The 21,943-nt window shown below is 42.1% G+C and overlaps 1 protein-coding gene across 2 annotated transcripts in view; it reads right to left on the bottom strand.

Moving 5' to 3' along the window:
* Nucleotides 7,103-21,943, bottom strand: part of KNL1 (kinetochore scaffold 1) — a 70,094-nt gene continuing 55,253 nt past the window's right edge. For both annotated transcript variants that reach the window (NM_170589.5, NM_144508.5), the window contains 9 exons: nucleotides 21,067-21,144; nucleotides 20,862-20,901; nucleotides 19,873-19,974; nucleotides 19,340-19,440; nucleotides 16,468-16,536; nucleotides 14,294-14,403; nucleotides 13,972-14,090; nucleotides 11,984-12,106; nucleotides 7,103-9,371 (listed from right to left, as the gene is read on the bottom strand). In NM_170589.5, the coding sequence (NP_733468.3) occupies nucleotides 9,257-9,371; nucleotides 11,984-12,106; nucleotides 13,972-14,090; nucleotides 14,294-14,403; nucleotides 16,468-16,536; nucleotides 19,340-19,440; nucleotides 19,873-19,974; nucleotides 20,862-20,901; nucleotides 21,067-21,144 (857 nt within the window). In that variant the 3' untranslated portion in view covers nucleotides 7,103-9,256. The remainder of the gene's footprint in view (nucleotides 9,372-11,983; nucleotides 12,107-13,971; nucleotides 14,091-14,293; nucleotides 14,404-16,467; nucleotides 16,537-19,339; nucleotides 19,441-19,872; nucleotides 19,975-20,861; nucleotides 20,902-21,066; nucleotides 21,145-21,943) is intronic.

Below are 21,943 nucleotides of genomic sequence, written 5' to 3'. Positions count from 1 at the left end.
CTCCAGCCTGGGCGATGGAGTGAGATTCCGTCTCAAAAAAAAAAAAAAAAAACTGATACAAGAAATTTAAAAGGACACATAAAAAGGAAAGCTATTCCATGTTCATGGATTGGAAGAATAAATATTGTTAAGATGTCCATACCATCCAAAGCAATCTACAGATTCAATGCAATCACTATCAAAATGCCAATGACATTCTTCACAGAAATAGAAAAAACAAACTTAAAATGTATATGGAACCAGAAAAGATCCAGAATAACCAAAGCTATCCTGAGTAAAAAGAATAAAACTGGAGGAATCACATTTTCTGACTTCAAATTATATTACAGAGCTATAATATTGAAAACAGCATGGTAGTGGCATAAAAATAGACACATAGACCAATGGAACAGAATAGAGAACTCAGAAATAAATCCATACATTTACAATGAACTCATTTTGACAAAGCTGCCAAGAACATATACTGGAAAACGGACACTCTCTTCAATAAAAGGGGTGGGGAAAACTGTATATCCATATGTATGAGAATGAAACTAGACCCCTATCTCTCACCATATACAAAAATCAAATCAAAATGGATTAAAGATTTAAATCTAAGACCTCAAACTTTGAAACTATTAAAACAGGTACCTAAGCAAAAATGGACAAATGGGATCACATCAAATTAAAAAACTTCTGCACAGCAAAGGAAACAATCAACAAAGTGTCAAGAGACAACCCACGGAATGGGTGAAAATATTTGCAAACTATCCATCTGACAAGGGATTAATAACCAGAATATAGGCTGGGTGTGGTGGCTCATGCCTGTAATGCCAGCGCATGGGGAGGCTGAGGCAGGTGGATCACTTGAGGTCAGGAGTTTAAGACCAGCCTGGCCAACATGATGGAACCCCATTTCTACAAAAAAAAAAAAAAAAAAAAATTAGCTGAGTGTGGTGGTGTGCACCTGTAATCCCAGCTACTTGGGAAGCTGAGGCAGGGAAATTGCTTGAGGCTGGGAGGTGGAGGTTGCAGTGAGCCAAGATCATGCCACTGCACTCCAGTCTGGCCAACAGAGCGAGACTCTGTCTCAAATAATAATAATAATAATAATAATAATAATAATAATAATAACCAGGCTGGGCACAGTGGCTCATGCCTGTAATCCCAGCACTTTGGGAGGCTGAGGCAGGTGGATCACAAGGTCAGGAGATCAAGAATATCCTGGCTGACACGGTGAAACCCTCTCTACTAAAAATACAAAAAAATAGCTAGGCCTGGTGGCATGCACCTGTAGTCCCAGCTACTTGGGAGGATGAGGCAGGAGAATCACTTGAACTCAGGAGGTGGAGGTTGCAGTGAGCCGAGATTGCACCACTGCACTCCAGCCTGGGCAACAGAGCAAGACTCCATCTCAATAATAATAATAATAACCAGAATATATTAGGAGCTGAAACAACTCAATAGACAAGACATCTAATAATCCAATTAAAAATGGGCAAAAAATCTGAATAGGCATTTCTCAAAAGACATACAAATGGCAAACAGGCATATGAAAAAGTACTCAACATCATTGACCATCAGAGAAATGCAAATCAAAACTGCAATAAGAATCATATCACCTCAGTTAAAATGGCTTTTATCTAAAAGACAGGCATGAATGCTGGCAAGGATCTGGAGAAAAGGGAACCCTTGTACACTGTTGGTGGGAATGAAAGTTAGTATAACTACTATGTACAACACTTCGGAGGTTCCTTAAAAAACTAAAAATAGGCCGGGTGCAGTGGCTCACGCCTGTAATCCCAGCACTTTGGGAGGTCGAGTCAGGCGGATCATGAGGTCAAGAGATCGAGAACATCCTGGCCAACATGGTGAAACCGCATCTGTACTAAAAATACAAAAATTAGCTGGGCGTGGTGGTGCGCACCCGTAGTCTCAGCTACTTGGGAGGCTGAAGCAGAAGAATCGCTTGAACATGGGAGGTAGAGGTTGCAGTGAGCCGAGATCACGTTACTGCATTCCAGCCTGGTGACAGAGTGAGACTCCATCTCAAAAAAAAAAAAACACCAAAAAACTAAAAATAGAGCTATCATATGATCAAGCAATCCTACAGCTAGGGGTATACCCAATAGAAAGAAAATCAGTGTATCAAAGAGGTATCGGCACTTCCATGTTTATTGCAGCACTGTTCACAATAGACAATATTTGGAAGGAACCTAAGTGCCCATCAACAGACGAACGGATAAAGAAAATGTGGTACATACACACAATGGAGTACTATTCGGCCAAAAGGAAGAATGAGATCCTGTCATTTGCAACAACATAGATGGAACTGGAGGTCATTACAGTAAATGAAATATGCCAGACACAGAAGGGCAAACTTTACATGTTCTCACTTATTTGTGGGAGCTAAAAATTTAAATAATTGAGGCCCGGAGCGGTAGCTCATGCCTGTAATCCCAGCACTTTAGGAGACCGAGGCAGGTGGATCACGAGGTCAAGAAATCGAGACCATCCTGGCCAACATGGTGAAACCCCGTCTCTACTAAAAGTACAAAAAATTAGCTGGGTGTGGTGGCTGGTGCCTACAGTCCTAGCTACTTGGGAGGCTGAGACAGGAGAATTGCTTGCACCTGGGAGGTGGAGGTTGCAGTGAGCCAAGATCATGCCACTGCACTCCAGCCTGGCAACAGAGTGAGACTCTGTCTCAAAAAATAAAAAATTAATTAATTAAATAAAATTTAAATAATTGAACTCATGGAAAAAGACAATAGAATGGTGGTTACCAGTGACTGGGAGGGTAATGGGGATGGAGGCGAGTGTGGATAGTGAAGAAGCACAAAAATACAGTTAGATAGAATGAATAAAATCTAGTATATGATAACATAAGGTGATTAAAAATTTTTAAAAATAATTATATGTGATACTAAGTTTAGCATAAAAACAGATTTTAGACAGAATCAGTTTATATATCATGAAATCTTTGTACTTAGCCATGGACAACAATATTTTCCATCTTAGTCCATTTTCTGTTGCTTGTAACAGAATACCTAAAACTCAAGTCATTTATAAAGAAACAAAAATGTATTTCTTACAGTTCTGGAGGCTGAGAAGTCCAAGGTTGATGAGACACATCTGATGAGGGCCTTCTTGCTGATAGGGACTCTGATGGGGTGCCTGTTGGCAGAGGGCACCACAGGTCGAGGGAGCTGAGAGTGTTAGCTCAAGTCTCTTTTCCTCTTTTTTTTTTTCTTTTTTTGTGGGGGACAGGGTCTCACTCTCATCTAAGCTGGAGTGCAGCGGCATCATCTTGGCTCACTGCACCCTCTGCCTCCTGGGCTCAAGTGATATCCCCACTTTAGCCTCCCAAGAAGCTGGGACCACAGGTATGCACCACCATGCCCTGCTAATTTTTGTATTTTTTGTGCAGATGGGATTTTGCCATGTTGCCCAGGCTAGTTTCAAACTCCTGAGCTCAAGAGATCCCCCAACCCGTTCCTCGGCCTCCCACAATGGTGGGATTACAGGTGTGAACCACCGTACCTGGCTCTCTCATCCTTTTTTTTTCTTGAAATGGAGTCTTGCTCTTGTCGTTCAGGCTGGAGTGCAGTGGTGTGATCTCAGCTCACTGCAACCTCCACCTCCGGGGTTCAAGCAATTCTTTTCCCTCAGCCTCCTGAGTAGCTGGTACTGCAGGCAGGTGCCACCACATCCAGCTAATTTTTGTATTTTTATTAGAGATGGGGTTTCACCATGTTGGTCAGGCTGGTCTCAAACTCCTGACTTCATGTGACCTGCCCACCTCAGCCTCCCAAAGTGCTGGGATTACAGGTGTGAGGCACTGCACCTGGCCAGCCTCTCTTCCTCTTCTGAAACAGCCACCAGTCCCACTCCCATAGTAACACATTAATCCATTTCATGAGGGTACAGCCCTCATGACTGAATCAGCTCTTAAAGGCCCCACATTTCAATATTGGCGGACTGGGGATTAAGTCTCAAGAGTTTTGGAGGGGACAAAACATTCAAATCATAGCAATTGCTTTCTCATAACATTGATTCCTGCAATAATGCTCTTATGGTAATGTGAATGTCAGTTGTGTTTACAATAAAGTATATGGATAAATGTGTTAAGGTTTCATTAATAACAATTAATAAAATGCTGTGATGGTGTTTATGTTACACTAGATAAGAATTGCTATGTAGAAGTCTCTTGTGTTTGGTTAGTGCCAGTCTGAACACCTTACAGAGCTCCAGTAAAGTTTGACCCAGGAAAATATTTTAGACAGAATCTGCTTATGCATTGTGAAATCTGTGTATTTACCCATAGACAACTGTGGTGGCAAACCTCAGCGATCTCAGTTCACTGCAACCTCTGCCTCCCGAGTTCAATCGATTCTCCTGCCTCAGCCTCCTGAGCAACTGGGACGTAGGCGCGCACCACCACGCCCGGCTAATTTTTGTATTTTTAGTAGAGACGGGGTTTCACCATGTTGGTCAGGCTGGTCTCAAACGCCTGAACTCGTGATCCGCCCGCCTTGGCCTCCCAAAGTGCTGGGATTACAGGCGTGAGCCACTGCGCCCAGCCATTTCCTGGGGATTAAAATATCTTACATCATGATTTTTTCCCTAAATATTTCTGGTGAAATATTTTTAAAGGAGTGAAATGTATATTTTTGCCACTTGGGATTTATTCTGTCATTCAGTCTAAAAACCTTCTTCAGCTGTGAGTGTAATTAATCTCAGCTATAGGTCCTACCAGGCTCAGTCTGATTTGTTATTTACGTTCCTTTTTCTTTTTTTTTGGAGATGGAGTCTCACTCTGTCACCCAGGCTGGAGTGCAGTGGCGCCATCTCAGCTCACTGCAACCTCCGCCTCCCAGGTTCAAGCAATTCTCCTGCCTCAGCCTCCCAAGTAGCTGGGATTACAGGCATGTGCCAACACGTCCAGCTAATTTTTGTATTTTTAGTAGAGATGGGGTTTCACCATGTTGGCCAGGCTGGTCTTGAACTCCCGACCTCAAGTGATGAAGCACAAAAATACAGTTAGATAGAATGAATAAAATCTAGTATAGGATAACATAAGGTGATTAAAAATTTTTAAAAATAATTATATGTGATACTAAGTTTAGCATAAAAACAGATTTTAGACAGAATCAGTTTATATATCATGAAATCTTTGTACCTCGGCCTCCCAAAGTGCTGGGATTACAGGCATGAGCCACCGTGCCCAGCCTTACTGTTGCTTTTCACAAACTTTAGAACTGAAGAAAATTTTAGGCCAGCTGTGGTGGCTCACACCTGTAATCCCAGCACTTTAGGAGGCCAGTGTGGGTGGATTACTTGAGCCAGGAGTTTGAGACCATCTTGGGCAACATGTTGAAATCACATCTCCACAAAAATTAGCTGGGGGTGGTAGTGTGCATCTGTAGTCCCAGCCATTCGAGAGGCTGATATGGTAGGATCGCTTGAGCCCAGAGAGGTCAAGGCTGCAGTAAGCCATGATCGTGATACTGCACTCCAGCCTGAGTGACAGAGAGAGACCCTGTCTAAAAAAAAGAAAGAAAAAATTTTAGAAGCAAACATATTAATGCTGGAATCAATCTCTTGCCCCACAAGTATTTTTTATTTGTGGAGCAATCACCTTCAAACTCTTGTTCTTCAAGTCTGATCTGGATCTTTGGGGCTGAGCTCTGTTATGAAGTCATGTTCTAAGAAACAGTAATAATCTCACTTTCTTATTGACCAAAAAAGACATATATATTTGAGACTGGGCACAATGACTCAGGCCTGTAATTCCAGCCCTTTGGGAGGCTGAGGCGAGAAGATCATTTGAGCTCAGGAGTTTGAGACCAGCCTGGGCAACATAGTGAGACTTGGCCTCTCAAACAAACAAACAAAAAAAGACATAAATATTAAAAAAAAAAAAAAAAACAAAAAAAAAAAAACAGATTAGGAGAAGAATGAGTGATAAACAACATTACTTAGAAACAAATATATGGGGCCAGGCATGGTGGCTCACGCCTGTAATCCCTGCACTTTGGGATACAGAGGCAGATGGATTACCTCAAAAAAAAAAAGAAAGAAAGAAAAGAAAAGAAATATATCATAAGTACTTGTTAAAAGAATGAAAATAGGCTGGGCACAGTGGCTCATGCCTGTAATCCCAGCACTCTGGGAGGCCGAGGTGGATGAATCACCTGAGGTCAGGAGTTTGAAACCAGCCTGGCCAACATGGTGAAACCCTGTCTCTACCAAAAATACACAAATTAGCTGGGTGTGGAGGTGCACGCCTGTAATCCTAGCTACTCAGGAGGCTGAGGCAAGATAATCGCTTCAACCTGGGAGGCGAAGGTTTTGGTGAGCCGAGATAGGCCACTGCACTCCAGCCTGGGTGACACAGCAAGACTTCCGTCTCAAAAAAAAAAGAATGAAAATAAATGAGCTAGGTACCTACCATCACAAGAAGTTAGAAAAAGAATAGCAAACTGGGTGCAGTGACCGACACCTATAATCCCAGCAATTTGGGAAGCTGAGATGGGAGGATCTCTTGAGCCCAGGAGTCCGAGACCAGCCTGGGCAACATAGTGAGACCACATCTCAAAAACAAGAAAAATTTTTATTTTTTAATTTTTAGATGGGGGTTTCACTCTTGTTGCCCAGGCTGGAGTGCAATGGTGCGATCTCGGCTCCCTGCAACCTCTGTCTCCCGGGTTGAAGCAATTCTCCTGCATCAGCCTCCCAAGTAGCTGGGATTACAGGCATGTGCCACCATGACTGGCTAATTTTGTATTTTTAGTAGAGACACGGTTTCTCCATGTTGGTCAGGTTGGTCTCAAACTTTCGACCTCAGGTGATCTGCCCACTTCAGCCTCCCGAAGGGTTGGCATTACAGGCATGAGCCACCATGCCCAGCCAAGAAAAAAAAATTTTTTAGAGATAGGGTCTTGCTATGTTGTGTAGGCTGGATTTGAATTCTTGGCCTGAAGCACCCTGCTTGAACTCGGCCTAATCTCAGTTTTGAATAGGTAGGTGTCTCCAGAGGAAGGTTTCTTTGGTATATCTTCAAAGGTCTATTGGATAAATGCTAAAATATTCTTTATAAAGAAACACTACTCACAAAAGATTTAAAGTAATAAACTTATTTTAATAGTGCAAAATGTAATCTGCTTTCCAACCAATGAAAGAAAAACTTTCAAAAAATTTATGAAACTAGTCAATACCTTGAACAAAGAAAAACACAAATAACTAAGTAAATATTACAATTGTGTACTCCAAACCCAAAAAAGCAGAGACCGTCATTACAAGCCAAATCTTTTTTAGAGTTGGTTGTTGCAGGTTACTAAAATGCGTAAAACAAAATCTCTACTTTTCAGACTTACAGAAAAGAAATAACTCCAATAAGAAAGCTAACTTAAGTTTCATGGGAAACAGATCATATTGATGACTTTAAAATGTTTTTCAAGGAGTTTACGGAACAGAACATCTATATCTTGATTTTTATGGCAAATGAGGTTTGTCTTGACTTTTGAAGCTTATGTGTCTTTTGACGTATAGCTCAGAAGTAAAAACCAATCAAGAGGGACAATAACATTCAGGGGATCCACAGGACTTTAACCTGATCCAAAAATATAAAGCAAAATTTTGAGACAAATTAGCTTAAAAATGCAAATGTATTTTGGTTTATAATTAAATATAAAACAAAAATTATCACAATTAGGATTTGAATGAAGTTTGAGTAAATTTTTTTGTCTACTTCATACATAATATTGGTCATTTAATAATATGTATGACAAGGGTATGGCATCAGAAAACAATACTTACAGCAAGTCTATTATTACTGCTAGAAATTGATGAAACTAGTGTTTTGGATGTGACATTGTTTGACGTGTCACTATTTAATAAAAGAAAATAGAAAATTTTGCTGTAAAACATTCTTCAGAAAATTGGGAACTGCCTAGACAGATGAGTATCTATATACCTCAATGAATTTCTATGTACATCTCCTTACTACATCACAAACACAAAAACAACATTAATATATTTACATATATGTACTAGACAAAAATGAATTAACTTTCCCTAGAAAAACTATACTTATTAAGAAAACATTGCTGGGTGTGGTGGCTCACACCTGTAATCCCAGCACTTTGAAGCCGAGGCAGGCGGATCACGAGGTCAGGAGATCGAGACCATCCTGGCTAACATCGTGAAACCCCATTTCTACTAAAAAGACAAAAAATTAGCCCGGCATGGTGGTGGGCACCTGTAGTCCCAGCTACTCGGGAGGCTGAGGCAGGAGAATGGCGTGAACCCAGGAGGCGGAGCTTGCAGTGAGCTGAGATCATGCCACTGCACTCCAGCCTGGGCGACAGAGCAAGACTCCGTCTCAAAAAAAAAGAAAAAGAAAACATAATAGACACCATAGAATAAAAAGCAAGGCCTTCAAAAAAAGATGGCAACCATTTCAATAGCTGAGTGCTATTGCTTTCTCTCTTTTTGTTTTTTTGAGACAGGGTCTTGCTCTGTTGCCTAGGCTGGAGTGCAGTGGAATGGTCTCGGCTTACTGCAACCTCTGCCTCCTGGGCTCAAGTGATCCTCCTGCCTTAAGCTCCTAAGTAGCTGGGACCACAGGCGCAAGCCACCATGACTGGCTAACTTTCGTATTTTTTGTAGAGGTGGGGTTTTGCCATGTTGCCCAGGCTGGTCTTGAATTCCTGGACTCAGGCTATTCACCCATTTTGGCCTCCCAAACTGCTGGTATTACAGGTGTGAGCCACCGCACCCAGCCCTACTTTCTCTTAATAGCATTTTAGTAACGGAGAAAAAGGATAATAGTTTGTAGACAGATACATTTCTACTCCAGAAATATCTGCTAGGCAGAAGCCAGGCAACCTAAAAAATCATAGCTCTATCTAGTTATGGGAAAATGGCTAATGTTCTTGTCAGTGATAACACTTCTTATACTTAAGTTAATCCTTAGGGCTTGTACTAAAGCAGAAAGCACTAGTTTAGTTAGGAGACATTTTTCCTAAGTGTCCTATTACTTAAACCTTTGGTACAAAGATGAGTAAGTTGATAGTAGGCTATGAGGCCTACCATCCAGACTTCATCACCATCATTCTGCAGAGATATAAAAAACATACAGATTAACTATAACATCATCAGAAGGAATTTTACTCAGCTTGTAATGACGTAAAAACAAAGGCTGAACAGCAATGGGACCCTGAAATAATATCAAGTACATTCTGCTTGGTTGTTCCAATGGTGGTCCAAGGGTCTAGTGGTAGAAATGGCAGTCCTGAAACAGATCTTGGTAAATTTGCTTGACTACATTCTTCAGGTAGTTGTTCTCCAGTGGCACTTTAGATAGAATGGTAGCAATATCATCTTGGCTGGAAAGAACAAAGGTTAATCAATTTTCTTTTTTGCGACGGAGTCTCGCTCTGTCGCCCAGGCTGGAGTGCAGTGGCGCAATCCGCTCACTGCAAGCTCCACCTCCCGGGTTCATGCCATTCTCCTGCCTCAGCCTCCCGAGTAGCTGGGACTACAGGCGCCTGCCACCACGCCCGGCTAATTTTTGTATTTTTAGTAGAGATGGGGTTTCACTGTGTTACTCAGGATGGTCTCGATCTCCTGGCCTTGTGATCCACCCACCTCGGCCTCCCAAAGTGCTGGGATTACAGGCGTGAGCCACCGCGCCCAGCCAGGTTAATCAATTTTTTAAAAAATCTTACACTTGTCTCTAATTCAGTGGAATTTATGTTCTTGGTCTCTCAGTTTCCTAGGAAGCACAAATGAGCATTTCTGGAAATAACCAGATATCCAGTTTGAAATGGGATTCCAAAACAGGGCCTAAGAACCAATTCTATATGTAATTGTGAAGTATCTTAACCTAGCTACTTTTGTTGGTCATAAAAAATCTTAGTCTTGGTGTTTGCTGACAAATATAAGGTGAGCAAATTTTTCCCCACCCCCAGAGTCTTGCTCTGTTGCCCAGGTTGGAGTGCAGTTAGTGGCACAATCTAGGCTCACGGCAACCTCTTTCTCCTGGGTGCAAGCAATTCTCCTACCTCGGCCTCCCGAGTAGCTGGGATTACAGGCACCTGCCACCACGCCTGGCTATTTTTTTGTATTTTTAGTAGAGATGGGGTTTCATCATGTTGGCCAGGATGGTCTTGAACTCCTGACCTCATGATCCACCCACCTCGGCCTCCAAAAGTGCTGGGATTACAGGCATGAGCCACCACGCCCAGTCAAAAACAAAGAGTTTTGTCATGTTGGCCAGGCTGGTGTCAAACTCATGGCCTCAAGTGATCTGCCCACCTTGGCCTCCCAAAGTGCTGGGATTACAGGCATGAGCCACCATGCCCGGCCTAGGTGAGCACATTTTTAACTCTGTTATCTTCCAATCTGTCAGCAGTGCATCTAAAAAGTCACAAAATACGTCACAGTCTAGGAGGAATGAAACATTTTTAGGGCTGGTTCCACAGACTCTGTTTTGTTTTGAGAGAGCCTGGTTCTGTCACCCAGGCTGGAGGCCAGTGGCATGATCCTGGCTCACCACAATCTCCACCTCCCAGGCTCAAGCAATCCTCCCACCTCAGCCTCAAGATTAGCTGGGACTACTCACCACCACACCCAGCTAATTTATGTATGTTTAGTAGAGGTGGGGATTCGCCATGTTGGCCAGGCTATTCTCATACTCCCAAGCTCAAGTGATCCGCCCACCTCAGCCTCCCAAAGTGCTGGGCTTAAAGGCGTGAGCCATCGTATCCTGCACTTTTTTTTTTTTTTTTTTTTTGAGACGGAGTTTCGCTTTGTCTCCCAGTCTGGAGTGCAGTGGTGCAATCTCGGCTCACTGCAACCTCCACCTCCTGGGTTCAAGCAATTCTCTGCCTCAGCCTCCCCAGTAGCTGGGATTACAGGCGCCCACCGCCACGCCTGGCTAATTTTTTGTATTTTTAGTAGAGGCGGGGTTTCACCAACTTGGCCAGGCTGGTCTTGAACTCCTGACCTCGTGATCCACCTACCTCGGCCTCCCAGAGTGCTGGGATTACAGGTGTGAGCAACTGTGCCCGGCTGACTCTGTTTTTAAGGCCATAAAAGTTGTTTACATATCATCTGTACTAAGCTAATGGTGAGTTTTTTCCTTCTTGATTCATGTTTTAGGTTGGAGTATTCAAAAAGTGAAGCAGGTACAAAAGAATAGACCAGTGGTCTCCAGCATCCACTGGAGATAGCAATGAAGGTCAATAACTTTAAGAAAAAATTCTTCGCCTGTAATCCCCAGCACTTTGGAAGGCTGAGGTGGGCAGATCACGAGGTCAAGAGATCAAGACCACCTAGGCCAACATGGTGAAACCCCATCTCTACTAAAAATGCAAAAATTAGCTAGGTGTGGTGGCGCTTGCCTTTAAGTCCCAGTTACTCAGGAGGCTGACGCTGGAGAATCACTTGAACCCAGGAGGCAGAGGTTGCAGTGAGCCGAGATCGTGCCACTGCACTCCAGCCTGGTGACAGAGTGAGACTCCATCTCAAACACACACACACACACACACACACACACACACATAAATTCTTCAAAATGAACTCAAGAGAACTGAAGTTTAGCTCTCACTATGGTCCACTAATTTGCTGACCACTTTGAGGAATCTTTCAAATAAAATGAACATTAAAAAGTAGTCCTTGCTGGGCGCGGTGGCTCAAGCCTGTAATTCCAGCACTTTGGGAGGCCGAGGTGGGCGGACCACGAGGTCAGGAGATCGAGACCATGGTGAAACCCCGTCTCTACTAAAAATACAAAAAATTAGCCGGGTGCGGTGGCAGGCGCCTGTAGTCCCAGCTACTCAGGAGGCTGAGGCAGGAGAATGGCGTGAACCCGGGAGGCAGAGGTTGCAGTGAGCCGAGATTGCGCCACTACACTCCAGCCTGGGCAACAGAGCCAGACTCCATCTCAAAAAAAAAGAAGTAGCCCAGAGTCTTACCCTGTTGGCCCTTTACTCACCTAGTGTTCCCAACGTGATTCTGAATGGTGGAAGGTAATGGTACAGATGGATAATAGGCTGAGAGAAACAAAGTTATTTCAAACTTTGCAAATGCTGCGGAGCTAGAGAATAAAAGTCTCAATCTGTAAAAGACAAGATCCACAATTAAAAATGCAACAAATAATAGCATGAAACACAATTTCTTTTTTTTTTTTTTTGAGACGGAGTCTTGCTCTATCGCCCAGGCTGGAGTGCAGTGCACAATTTCGGCTCACTGCAACCTCCACCTCCCAAGTTCTATCGATTCTCCCAAGTAGCTGGGATTACAGGTGCCTGCCACCACATCCAGCTAAATTTTGTATTTTTAGTAGAGACAGGGTTTCGCCAATGTGGCCTCAAACTCCTGACCTCAGGTGATCCGCCTGCCTCACCACCCAAAGTGTTGGGATTACAGGAGTGAGCCACTGTCCCAGCACAATTTCATTTTATTTTTACGCTGGCATGTCCAAGTTAGGCATACATTATTTCTTTTCTTTTTCTTTTTTTTTTTTTGAGATGGAGTCTCGCTCTGTCACCCAGGCTGGAGTGCAGTGGAGTAATCTCGGCTCACTGCAACCTCCACCTTCCAGGTTCAAGCGATTCTCCTGCCTCAGCCTCCTGATTAGCTGGGACTACAGGTGTGTGCCACCAGGCCCAGCTAATTTTTGTATTTTCAGTAGAGATGGGGTTTCACCTTGTTGGCCACATTGATCTTGAACTCCTGACCTCAAGTGATCCACCTGCCTCACTTCCCAAAGTGTTGGGATTACAGGCTCATGTGAGCCACCGTCCCAGCCCAATTTCATTTTCTTTTCACACTGGCATGTCCAACTTAGGTATATATTATTTCTTTTCTTTCTTTCTTTTTTTTTTTTTTTTTTGAGACAGATTCTCTCTTTTTTTTTTTTTTTTTTTGAGATGGAGTCTCACTCTGTCACCCAGGCTGAGTGCAGTGGCGTGATCTCGGCTCACTGCAACCTCCATCCTCCAAGTTCAAGCGGTTCTCCTGCCTCAGCCTCCCAAGCAGCTGGGATTACAGGCACCTGCCACCGTGCCCGGCTAATTTTTTGTATTTTTAGTAGAGACAGGGTTTCACCATCTTGCCTAGGCTGGTCTTGAACTCCTGACCTCGTGATCCACCTGCCTCAGCCTCCCAAAGTGCTGGGATTACAGGTGTGAGGATATGGAGTCTCTTTGTGCCCAGGCTGGAGGGCAGTGGCAAAATCTCAGCTCACTGCAACCTCCGCCTCCTGGGTTCAAGTGATTCTCCTACCTCAGCCTCCTGAGTAGCTGGGACTACAGGCGCCCACCACCATGCCTGTCTAATTTTTGTATTTTTAGTAGAGACGGGGTTTCACCATATTGGCCAGGCTGGTCTTGAAGTCCTGACCTTGTGATTCGCCCACCTCGGCCTCCCAAAGTGCTGGGATTACAGGAGTGAGCCACTGCACCCAAGTTGTTGACCAACTTGACCAAGAACTTACTATATATATATATTCATTTAATAAACTGCTGACCAAGTACTTACTGTTGGGTTGACCTGTATTTCCCAAAATTCATATGTTGAATTCCAAACCCCCAATACCTCAGAAAGTGACCTTATTTGGAAATCTGGTCACTACACAAGTAATATGTTAAGATGAAGTCCTACTAGAGTAAGGTGGGCCCCTAATCCACTATGACTAGTGTCCTTATAAAAAGGGGAAATGTGGATGCAGACATGCACAATGAAAGACACCATGTCAACATGAAGGGAGAGATCAAGGTTATGCATTTACAAGCCAAGGAATGCCAAAGATTGCCAGCAAACCACCAGACACTGGGAGAAGGCATGGACAGATTCTAACAGCCCTCAGAAAGAATAACACCCGCTTACACCTTAATCTCAGACCTCCAGCCTCCAGAACCTGTTAAGGTACCCAATTTGTAGTACTCTGTCATGGCAGTCCTTGGGAACTAATACACTTACTCATTATTATTAATATCTATGTTCATTAGGTTATAATTTGGTCCCCATCTCTTTAAATACTCAATCTCCTCTCCAAGGAGTCTGCAATGGTGCACTACCAGTGAGAATTCTTCAAGCATCTAGAAAAAGTGGGAAAAAAAATCCAGTGAAATTATGAAAACATTTCAATGCTTAGTGGCTCACTTACAAAGAACTCAAAAAAGTTAAACAATTGAATACATTTATCATTTCAGGATCCACTATTATTTATGTAAAGTTTCAGTTCTGCTTTTTTTGGAAAGATATCACAAATTTTCCTTTAAATACTTCAATCGGGCTTTACCTTGGGTAACTGATGCTGGGTTGTACATGTCTTCTTCCAGGATTCCTTTTCTTCAACGTACTGGAAAATAAGCTTATGAACTAAAAGGGAGGAAGGAGGAGCTTGATCCTCTGGGGAAGGAAAAAAAAAAGCAAAAGCAGGTTATTACTTATGATTCATATATTTTATATAAGTGAAAAATACTATATTATATAAGCTAGAAATATTCTCAAACTACCAGGTACATAAGTATTCTCTCCATTTTTTCTTTTTCTTTTTTTTTCTGGAGTCTCCTGTCTCCCTCTGTCACCCAGGCTGGAGTACCATGGCGTGATCTTGGCTCACTGCAACCTCTGCCTTCCCAGTTCAAGCAATTCTCCTGCCTCAGCCTCCTGAGTAGCTGGGATTACAGGCGTCTGCCACCATACCCGGCTACTTTTTGTATTTTTAGTAGAGAGGGGGCTTCACCATTTTGGACAGACTGCTCTTGAACTCCTGATGTCAGGTAATCCACCCGCCTTGGCCTCCCAAAGTGCTGGGATTACAGGCATGAGCCACCATGCCCAGATGTATTCTCTCCATTTTTATTTTCAAACATGATTATAACATGTATGGTGAAGATAGGACATTTCTACAAAAACTCAAGACTTTATCACATATAGAAACAGTACTTGAGTAAGAGTGTGGGTTTACATGTAACACAGACCTGAGTTTAAATCCTGGATTTCATTTCTTTTTTTGAGACGGAGTGTCACTCTATTGCCCAGGCTGGAGTGCAGTGGCATGATCTCAGCTCACTGCAACCTCCGCCTCCCGGATTCAGGCAATTCTCCTGCCTCAGCCTCCCGAGTAGCTGGGACTACAGGCACACACCACAATGCCCAGCTAATTTCTTCGTATTTTTAGTAGAGACAGGGTTTCACTATGTTGGCCAGGCTGGTCTTGAACTCCTGACCTCCAGTGATCCGCCCGCCTTGGTCTCCCAAAGTGCTGGGATTACAGGTGTGAGCCACGGCACCCAGCAATCCTGGCTTTCTTTAATACCTAAGTGATCCTAGACACAATACTTAAGTTTTTTGATCTGTAGTTTCCTAATTTGTAAAATGGGGAACAAATCGCATGGACTTCATAGTGTTAATTTAAGTAATACACATGCCTGATACAGACTAAGTGCTCATAACAGTAATTTTTAAATTATGAAAATAGCTACTATTAATCATTGCTCAAGACCCAGTAATAATTTTTTTTTTTTTTTTTGAGACGGAGTCTCATTTTGTCGCCCAGGCTGGAATGCAGTGGCGCGATCTCGGCTCACTGCAAGCTCCGCCTCCCGGGTTCACGCCATTCTCCTGCCTCAGCCTCCCAAGTAGCTGGGACTACAGGCGCCAGCCACCACGCCCGGCTAATTTTTTTGTATTTTTTAGTAGAGACGGGGTTTCACCGTGTTAGCCAGGATAGTCTCGATCTCCTGACCTTGTAATCCGTCCGCCTAGGCCTCCCAGAGTGCTGGGATTACAGGCGTGAGCCACCATGCCCGGCATGTAATAATTTTTTTTAAATCTTTTTTTTTTTTTTTTTTTTTGAGATGGAGCCTTGCTCTGTCACCCAGCTTGAAGTGCAGTGGCGCAATCTCGGCTCACTGCAACCTCCGTCTCCCAGGTTCAAGCGATTCTCCTGCCTCAGACTCCTGAGTAGCTGGGATTACAGGCACCCATCACCGCGCCCAACTAATTTCTGTATTTTTAGTAGAGATGGGTTTCATCATGTTGGCCAGGCTGGTCTCGAGCCTCTGACCTTGTGATCTGCCTTCCTCGGCCTCCCAAAGTGCTGGGATTACAAGCATGAGCCACCGTGCCCAGCCTTATTTTTTATTTTTGAGACAAGGTCTCACTCTGTTGCCAGGCTGGACTGCAGTGGCATAATCTTGGCTCACCACAACCTCCACCTCCCAGGTTCAAGTGATTCTCCTGTCTCAGCCTCCTGAGTAGCTAGGGCTACAGGAGGGCACCATCACACCCGGCTAGTTTTTGTATTTTTAGCAGAGACGGGGTTTCACCATGTTAGTCAGGCTGGTCTCAAACTCCTGACCCCTGGTGATCCACCCGCCTCAGCCTCCCAAAGTGCTGGGATTAAAGGCATGAGCCATAGTGCCCAGCCCCAACAAATTTTTAGAGGCTTAAATGTTTTCTACTTACCATCTAACAGAGATTGAAAATTGACATCAACAATCTTCCTATAACGCTTGTCCAGGAAAGGGAAACCAACTAGAAAGAACCAGAATAATGATTTTTAAAAATTTTTTTAGACAGAGAGTCTCACTTTGTCTCCCAGGCTGGAGTGCAATGGCGCAGTCTTGGCCCACTGCAAGCTCAGCCTCCCAGGTTCAAGCGATTCTCCTGCCTCAGCCTCCTGAGTAGCTGGGACTACAGGCGCCCGCCACCACACCTGGCTAATTTTTTGTACTTTTAGTAGACACGGGGTTTCACCATGTTAGCCAGGATGGTCTCGATCTCCTGACCTCGTGATCCGCCTACCTCAGCTTCCCAAAGTGCTGGGATTACAGGCATGAGCCACCGTGCCTGGCCTTTTTTTTTTTTTTAAACTACCTGATTTGAAGTCACATAAAACTCAGTACTTTAGAATCCTACTCCTTCTGTGTAGCAGAGTTTTTTCCACAGGAAGTTGAAGGGTTATCCTTGAATCATTATTCTCTGTATCTAGTAAAGGCTCCCCTGAGACTGTTCAACTACATTGATTGGTATGTCTTTGAAGGACATTTAAAAGGTAGTACACAGCTATATTTGTTAAGGCCTCCTCTTTTAACCCCTAACTTCTGTGCAAAGATAATTTTATTTTCAGCAATCATATAAGGAAAATGGCTATCATCTCTCTACAACTCCTATCATTGTATAAATACAGTAAAAATGAGTTATGCTTTTAGCATTGCTATAATACATTTTAGGTAGCTGAGATAGCTGCTCGCTCCCCCAGACTCTAGAGTTAACTGTCTCCTGAATTGATTATTTTCTCTTTATTGAATGCTTTGTTACATATTTTCTATGTGTTAGGCACTGTGGATACCATGAGAAAAACAGCATACTCAACCTGTGCCCTCAAGCTTACAACTCAGGGAGACACACAACTGCACTAATAAACACAGCAAGAACTACAAACTATGATAAGCACTATTAAGGAAAACCACAGAAAGCAAGAACATACAACAGAAGGGTGAGAAACTGATCACTGAGAGCTGAGCTCTTACAATTATTAGTAGGAGTTCATTAGTGAAGTGGGGGAAAACAGCGTTCGGGCATAAGAAACATCAGCATGAAGGTGTTGAGATAGGATGAATATGGCTGAGCAGGAAACACCATGATCATTTAAGGAAATAAAAGAAGTCCACTGTGGCCAACGTGCAGAGGTAGGAAGGTAGTATGAGATAGGAAAAGGAGAAAAATTCAATTCAGGCAACGCTTCATAGGCTAGATCAAATACTTTGATCATTAGCCTAAGAGTAATAGGTGCATAGTCAGATTTTCAGTAATCACTATAGCTTCAGGGAGGAGGAGGAGAAGATCCATAAAGTCCAGTTGGAATGTTACTGTAGTCATCTAGGTTAGAGATGATTATTGACAGAACAGATGAAAAACAGTGGATGAATATTAAGAAATTAAAACCAGTAGGTTGGGCGCTGTGGTTCATGCCTGTAATCCAGCACTTTGGGAGGCCAAGGTGGGCAAATCGCTTGAGGCCAGGAGTTGAGACCAGCCTGGACAACACATATGGTGAAACCCCATCCCCACAAAATATAAAAAAATTAGCCGGGTGTGGTGGCGCATGCCTGTAATCCCAGCTACTTGGAAGGCTGAGGCAGGAGAATCACTTGAACCCAGGAGGCAGAGGTTGCAGTGAGCAGAGATTGCACTACTGCACTTCAGCCTGGGTGGAAGAGTGAGACTGTCTCAAAAAAATAAATAAATAAAAATAAATAAATAAAAACAAAAAGCATGTCTTACTGATGATTTGAATATGTACAGCGAGGGAGAAAGAGGTATAGAGTGATTCCTAAGTTTTAATTTTGGACCTGGACAGAAGGTAACGCTATTCATTGAGAAAAGAAACTTTCAAGGAGAATCAGGTTTAGAGGCCCAGAGATTGTGAAGATCCTACGTTCCAATACGGCCATGTTTGCCCATGGTTGGCCATGTTGACGCTGACTGGTTAAAGAGAAAATACCTAAAAGACACTGACAACTAGTAAACTCCAACAAAACAGCTGGGCCTCTGTCCAGTTACCATATAGTGATTTCCACCCTATATAGTGATTTTATCCTTTTAGATGATAAACCCACCTATACACACAGAACTTCCAATTAACTTGTTAGGGCCTCATTCTTTTTTTTTTTTTTTTTTGAGACAGTTTTGCTCTGTTGCCCAGGCTGGAGTGCAGTGGCACGATCTTGGCTCACTGCAACCTCCACCTCCTGGGTTCGAATGATTCTCCTGTCTCAGCCTCCCGAGTAACTAGGATTACAGGTGCATGCCCAGCTCATTTTTTGTAGTTTTAGTAGAGATGGGGTCTCACCATGTGGGCCAGGCCGGTTTCGAACTCCTGACCTCAGATGATCCGCCCACCTCAGCCTCCCAAAGTGTTGGGAGTACAGGCGTGAGCTGCAGGGCCTCACTCTTAAGTAAAAAAAGAAAAAAAAAAAAAAAAAGAATCTCCAGCCATTAGGGTAAATTCTCTATTCTCTATCACGAAAGATGGAGATGAAAAGAAAGAAACTCATAGTAAATAGACATGAGTAGCATGTTTATCCATTATTTGCAGAGCAAAATTTTTATTTAATGTAATTCAACAAAGGGCAACGTTCACTAATTCCATTTTTATTTTATTCTTTACAAAATAAAATAAAATTCTGCTATCAATAAAGTGACTGTTCTAAGACTTTCAGCAGTGCTCTCATCATGCCAATAGTTATCAGTATAGTAAAATAAAGATTTGAATCTTTAGTGAGTGTAGCCATTCATTTTTCTGTAAAAGAATTATCTCACTTTGGCTCCTTACCAACTGACTCTTCAAAGGTGATGGTGAGTTGTATCGTGTCATAAACAAAGGTGAATACAGCTTGATCATCACTCCACTCAACGACATCCCACTCAGACAAGCTGTAGAGAGATAAACAAGATTTTTAAAAAGCGTTTTTAAAATTAACATAAAAGAGAACTTCTGATACCACCCAAACAGTACCAACAGCAGCTGCTAATGTTTTTCCACTGGACTGGGAGAAAATATTTCAATTCATATATTGTGGATGTACAAACTTAAGCTTTTGAAATAACTAAGAACCCAATCTTGAGTTGTATATCAGAGAAACACCAAGTCTACGCAATGAAAAGTATAAAATATGGAAAAATTATAATTCCATAGTTCTTCTACTCTATTTCCAGCTTACTGTTGAGTACACTGACTCTTTTTGAAACAGCACTGTATAGGTTAAAAACAGCAACACATTAAAAATACATCAATTGCTCCAATCGGTTTAAACAACCACAAGGTACAGAATAAAACACAAACAAATGATGCCTGCATTTCCTTACCTCAACTGATCCAGTAGCTCTTCAGTTCTATTTCTTTGTTTTTGCATAAAGTCTATTTGAGCAAGGGTCTGCTCTTTTTGTACCTCCAGTTCTAAGAGATTTCTGCAAATAAAAGCAGGTATTCAGAGAGATAAGGTTTTTGTTAGAGAATTCACTCTATCAATATAAAAGGTTTATGATAAGAAGTCACATGCTACATGACTCCCCATTGAGGTAATAATGTTAGGTGTATGGCATCCATTTCTGCATTCTTAGTTTAGTTTTTTTTTTTTTTTTTATATAAGCATTAATCTAGAAGTGGGTCTACCTGGGAAAGGCATAAATCATTGTTTTTCAAATTAGGATCCATGAAGATATCCTTGGGATTCACATGTTAAGATAACTTTTAAATACTACATTTTTATTTTTGATAAAAAGCAAAAATATAAAAATATAAGCATAATGTAGATCATAAGATATACTTTAAAACTGAGACATGTCACAGTTTTTTTTTTTTTGCCTGTATTTGGTTTCGTTTAGTTGTTAGAGCTAAACAGAACATATCTTTGTTAATCATTTTGCTAGCATCAATTTAATTTCAGCCAAACACTATCACCTGTCAAATTAATGTTGTCAACTAGAATTTTAGTGGCTTTGTCATTATTTCTATTTACTTTCTTTTACACTTACAGTTGAATAAGATTCATAGGCCTAAGAAATATATACTTCATTTTATACTTGTTTATATTTACATTTATTAAACAAAAAGGATACTGGTAGTATTCAAGCTTGAGAAACACTGTTGTGGATAAATGCCCTGTAAACAATAAGTGCTTCAAAACTACTGTTGACTAAGATGGACTCTAGGTTTCCATTCAAAGTGGAGAAGCCCTGAGTCAGCCTCAATCAAGACTCATGTCCCCAAATCCTGTCAGTCTCTGGAGGCAGGAAGTCATCTAGCCTTCTGTGATTTAGCATTATATTTTCTAACACTTGGATTGAAGGCTGACCTTTGAAGCTCCTCTTCTTCAGTTTTCAGCTGTTCCAATTCTTTGGAAACAGAAAAAAAAAAAAAACAGAACAAACATATTAGAATGTTGCCACAAAAATCTGTTTTATTGAAAATTCTGACTTAATCTCACCAAAGTATATAAACAAACTCAGAACAGAAGGGCTTCCCCCACACCCATTTATCTCCTTAACTAATTCAATTACCTTTTTCTGCAGCTCTCATTTCAGAATCCCATTCTTCCACAGGATTGTTTTTCTCTTCATCCTCCAAATTCTTAGTTTCTAAAGTAGACAGTATTTGTTAGAATAATTCAGTGAAAAATAGTAAAAAAAGAAAACAAAGTAAGGAAAAAAAGAATAATTCAATCAAAAACAATTTATTAAACGACAGATTGTTTCTTTGGTAGTAGGAAGTTCAGAAGTTCTAGTCTGATGGTTTCTATTTTTTTTTTTTTTTCTGTGAAAGAGAAAGTAAGGTAGTCAACAAAGGGGTGAACTTTAGACTATGGAATTCATGTACTCATGGTCAATTCAGTGCAAAAAACATGTACTAGGCACTTACTCTGTATGAAATATAGTCCTAGGGACTCTGAAGGAGATGGAGAAAAAGAAGAGCTGATTCCTGCCTCCACAGAGCTTATAATTTAATCAGGAAGATAAACTATACAAAATAACTATAATACAAGTAGATGTGATGGGTAATATAAGAAGTACTAACAAAAGAGCCATGAGAGCTCAAGGAAAAGAGACTACTTTCTTTGGTGAAAAACAGAAAGAGAACGTAGTATGTAGTAGCAAAGACCAAAGTAGAAATGATCAGGCTAGTGGCATGTGCCTATAGTCCCAACTACTCAGGAGGCTGAGGAAGGAGGATTCCTTGAGCCCAGGAGTTTGAAGCTGCAGTGAGCTATGATCATGCCACTGCACCCCAGCCTGGGCAACAGAGTGAGACTCTGCCTCTCTTTTTTTTTTTTTAAATAAAAGAAAAAGGCAGGCGTAGTGGCTGATGCCTGTAATCCTAGCACTTTGGGAGGCTGAGATGGGCAGATCACTTGAGGCCAGGAGTTGAGACCAGCCTGGC

The sequence above is a fragment of the Homo sapiens genome, chromosome 15, assembly GCF_000001405.40.
Source record: "Homo sapiens chromosome 15, GRCh38.p14 Primary Assembly".
Classification (NCBI taxonomy): domain Eukaryota; kingdom Metazoa; phylum Chordata; class Mammalia; order Primates; family Hominidae; genus Homo; species Homo sapiens.
This window is presented reverse-complemented; position numbering and strand designations above follow the sequence as displayed.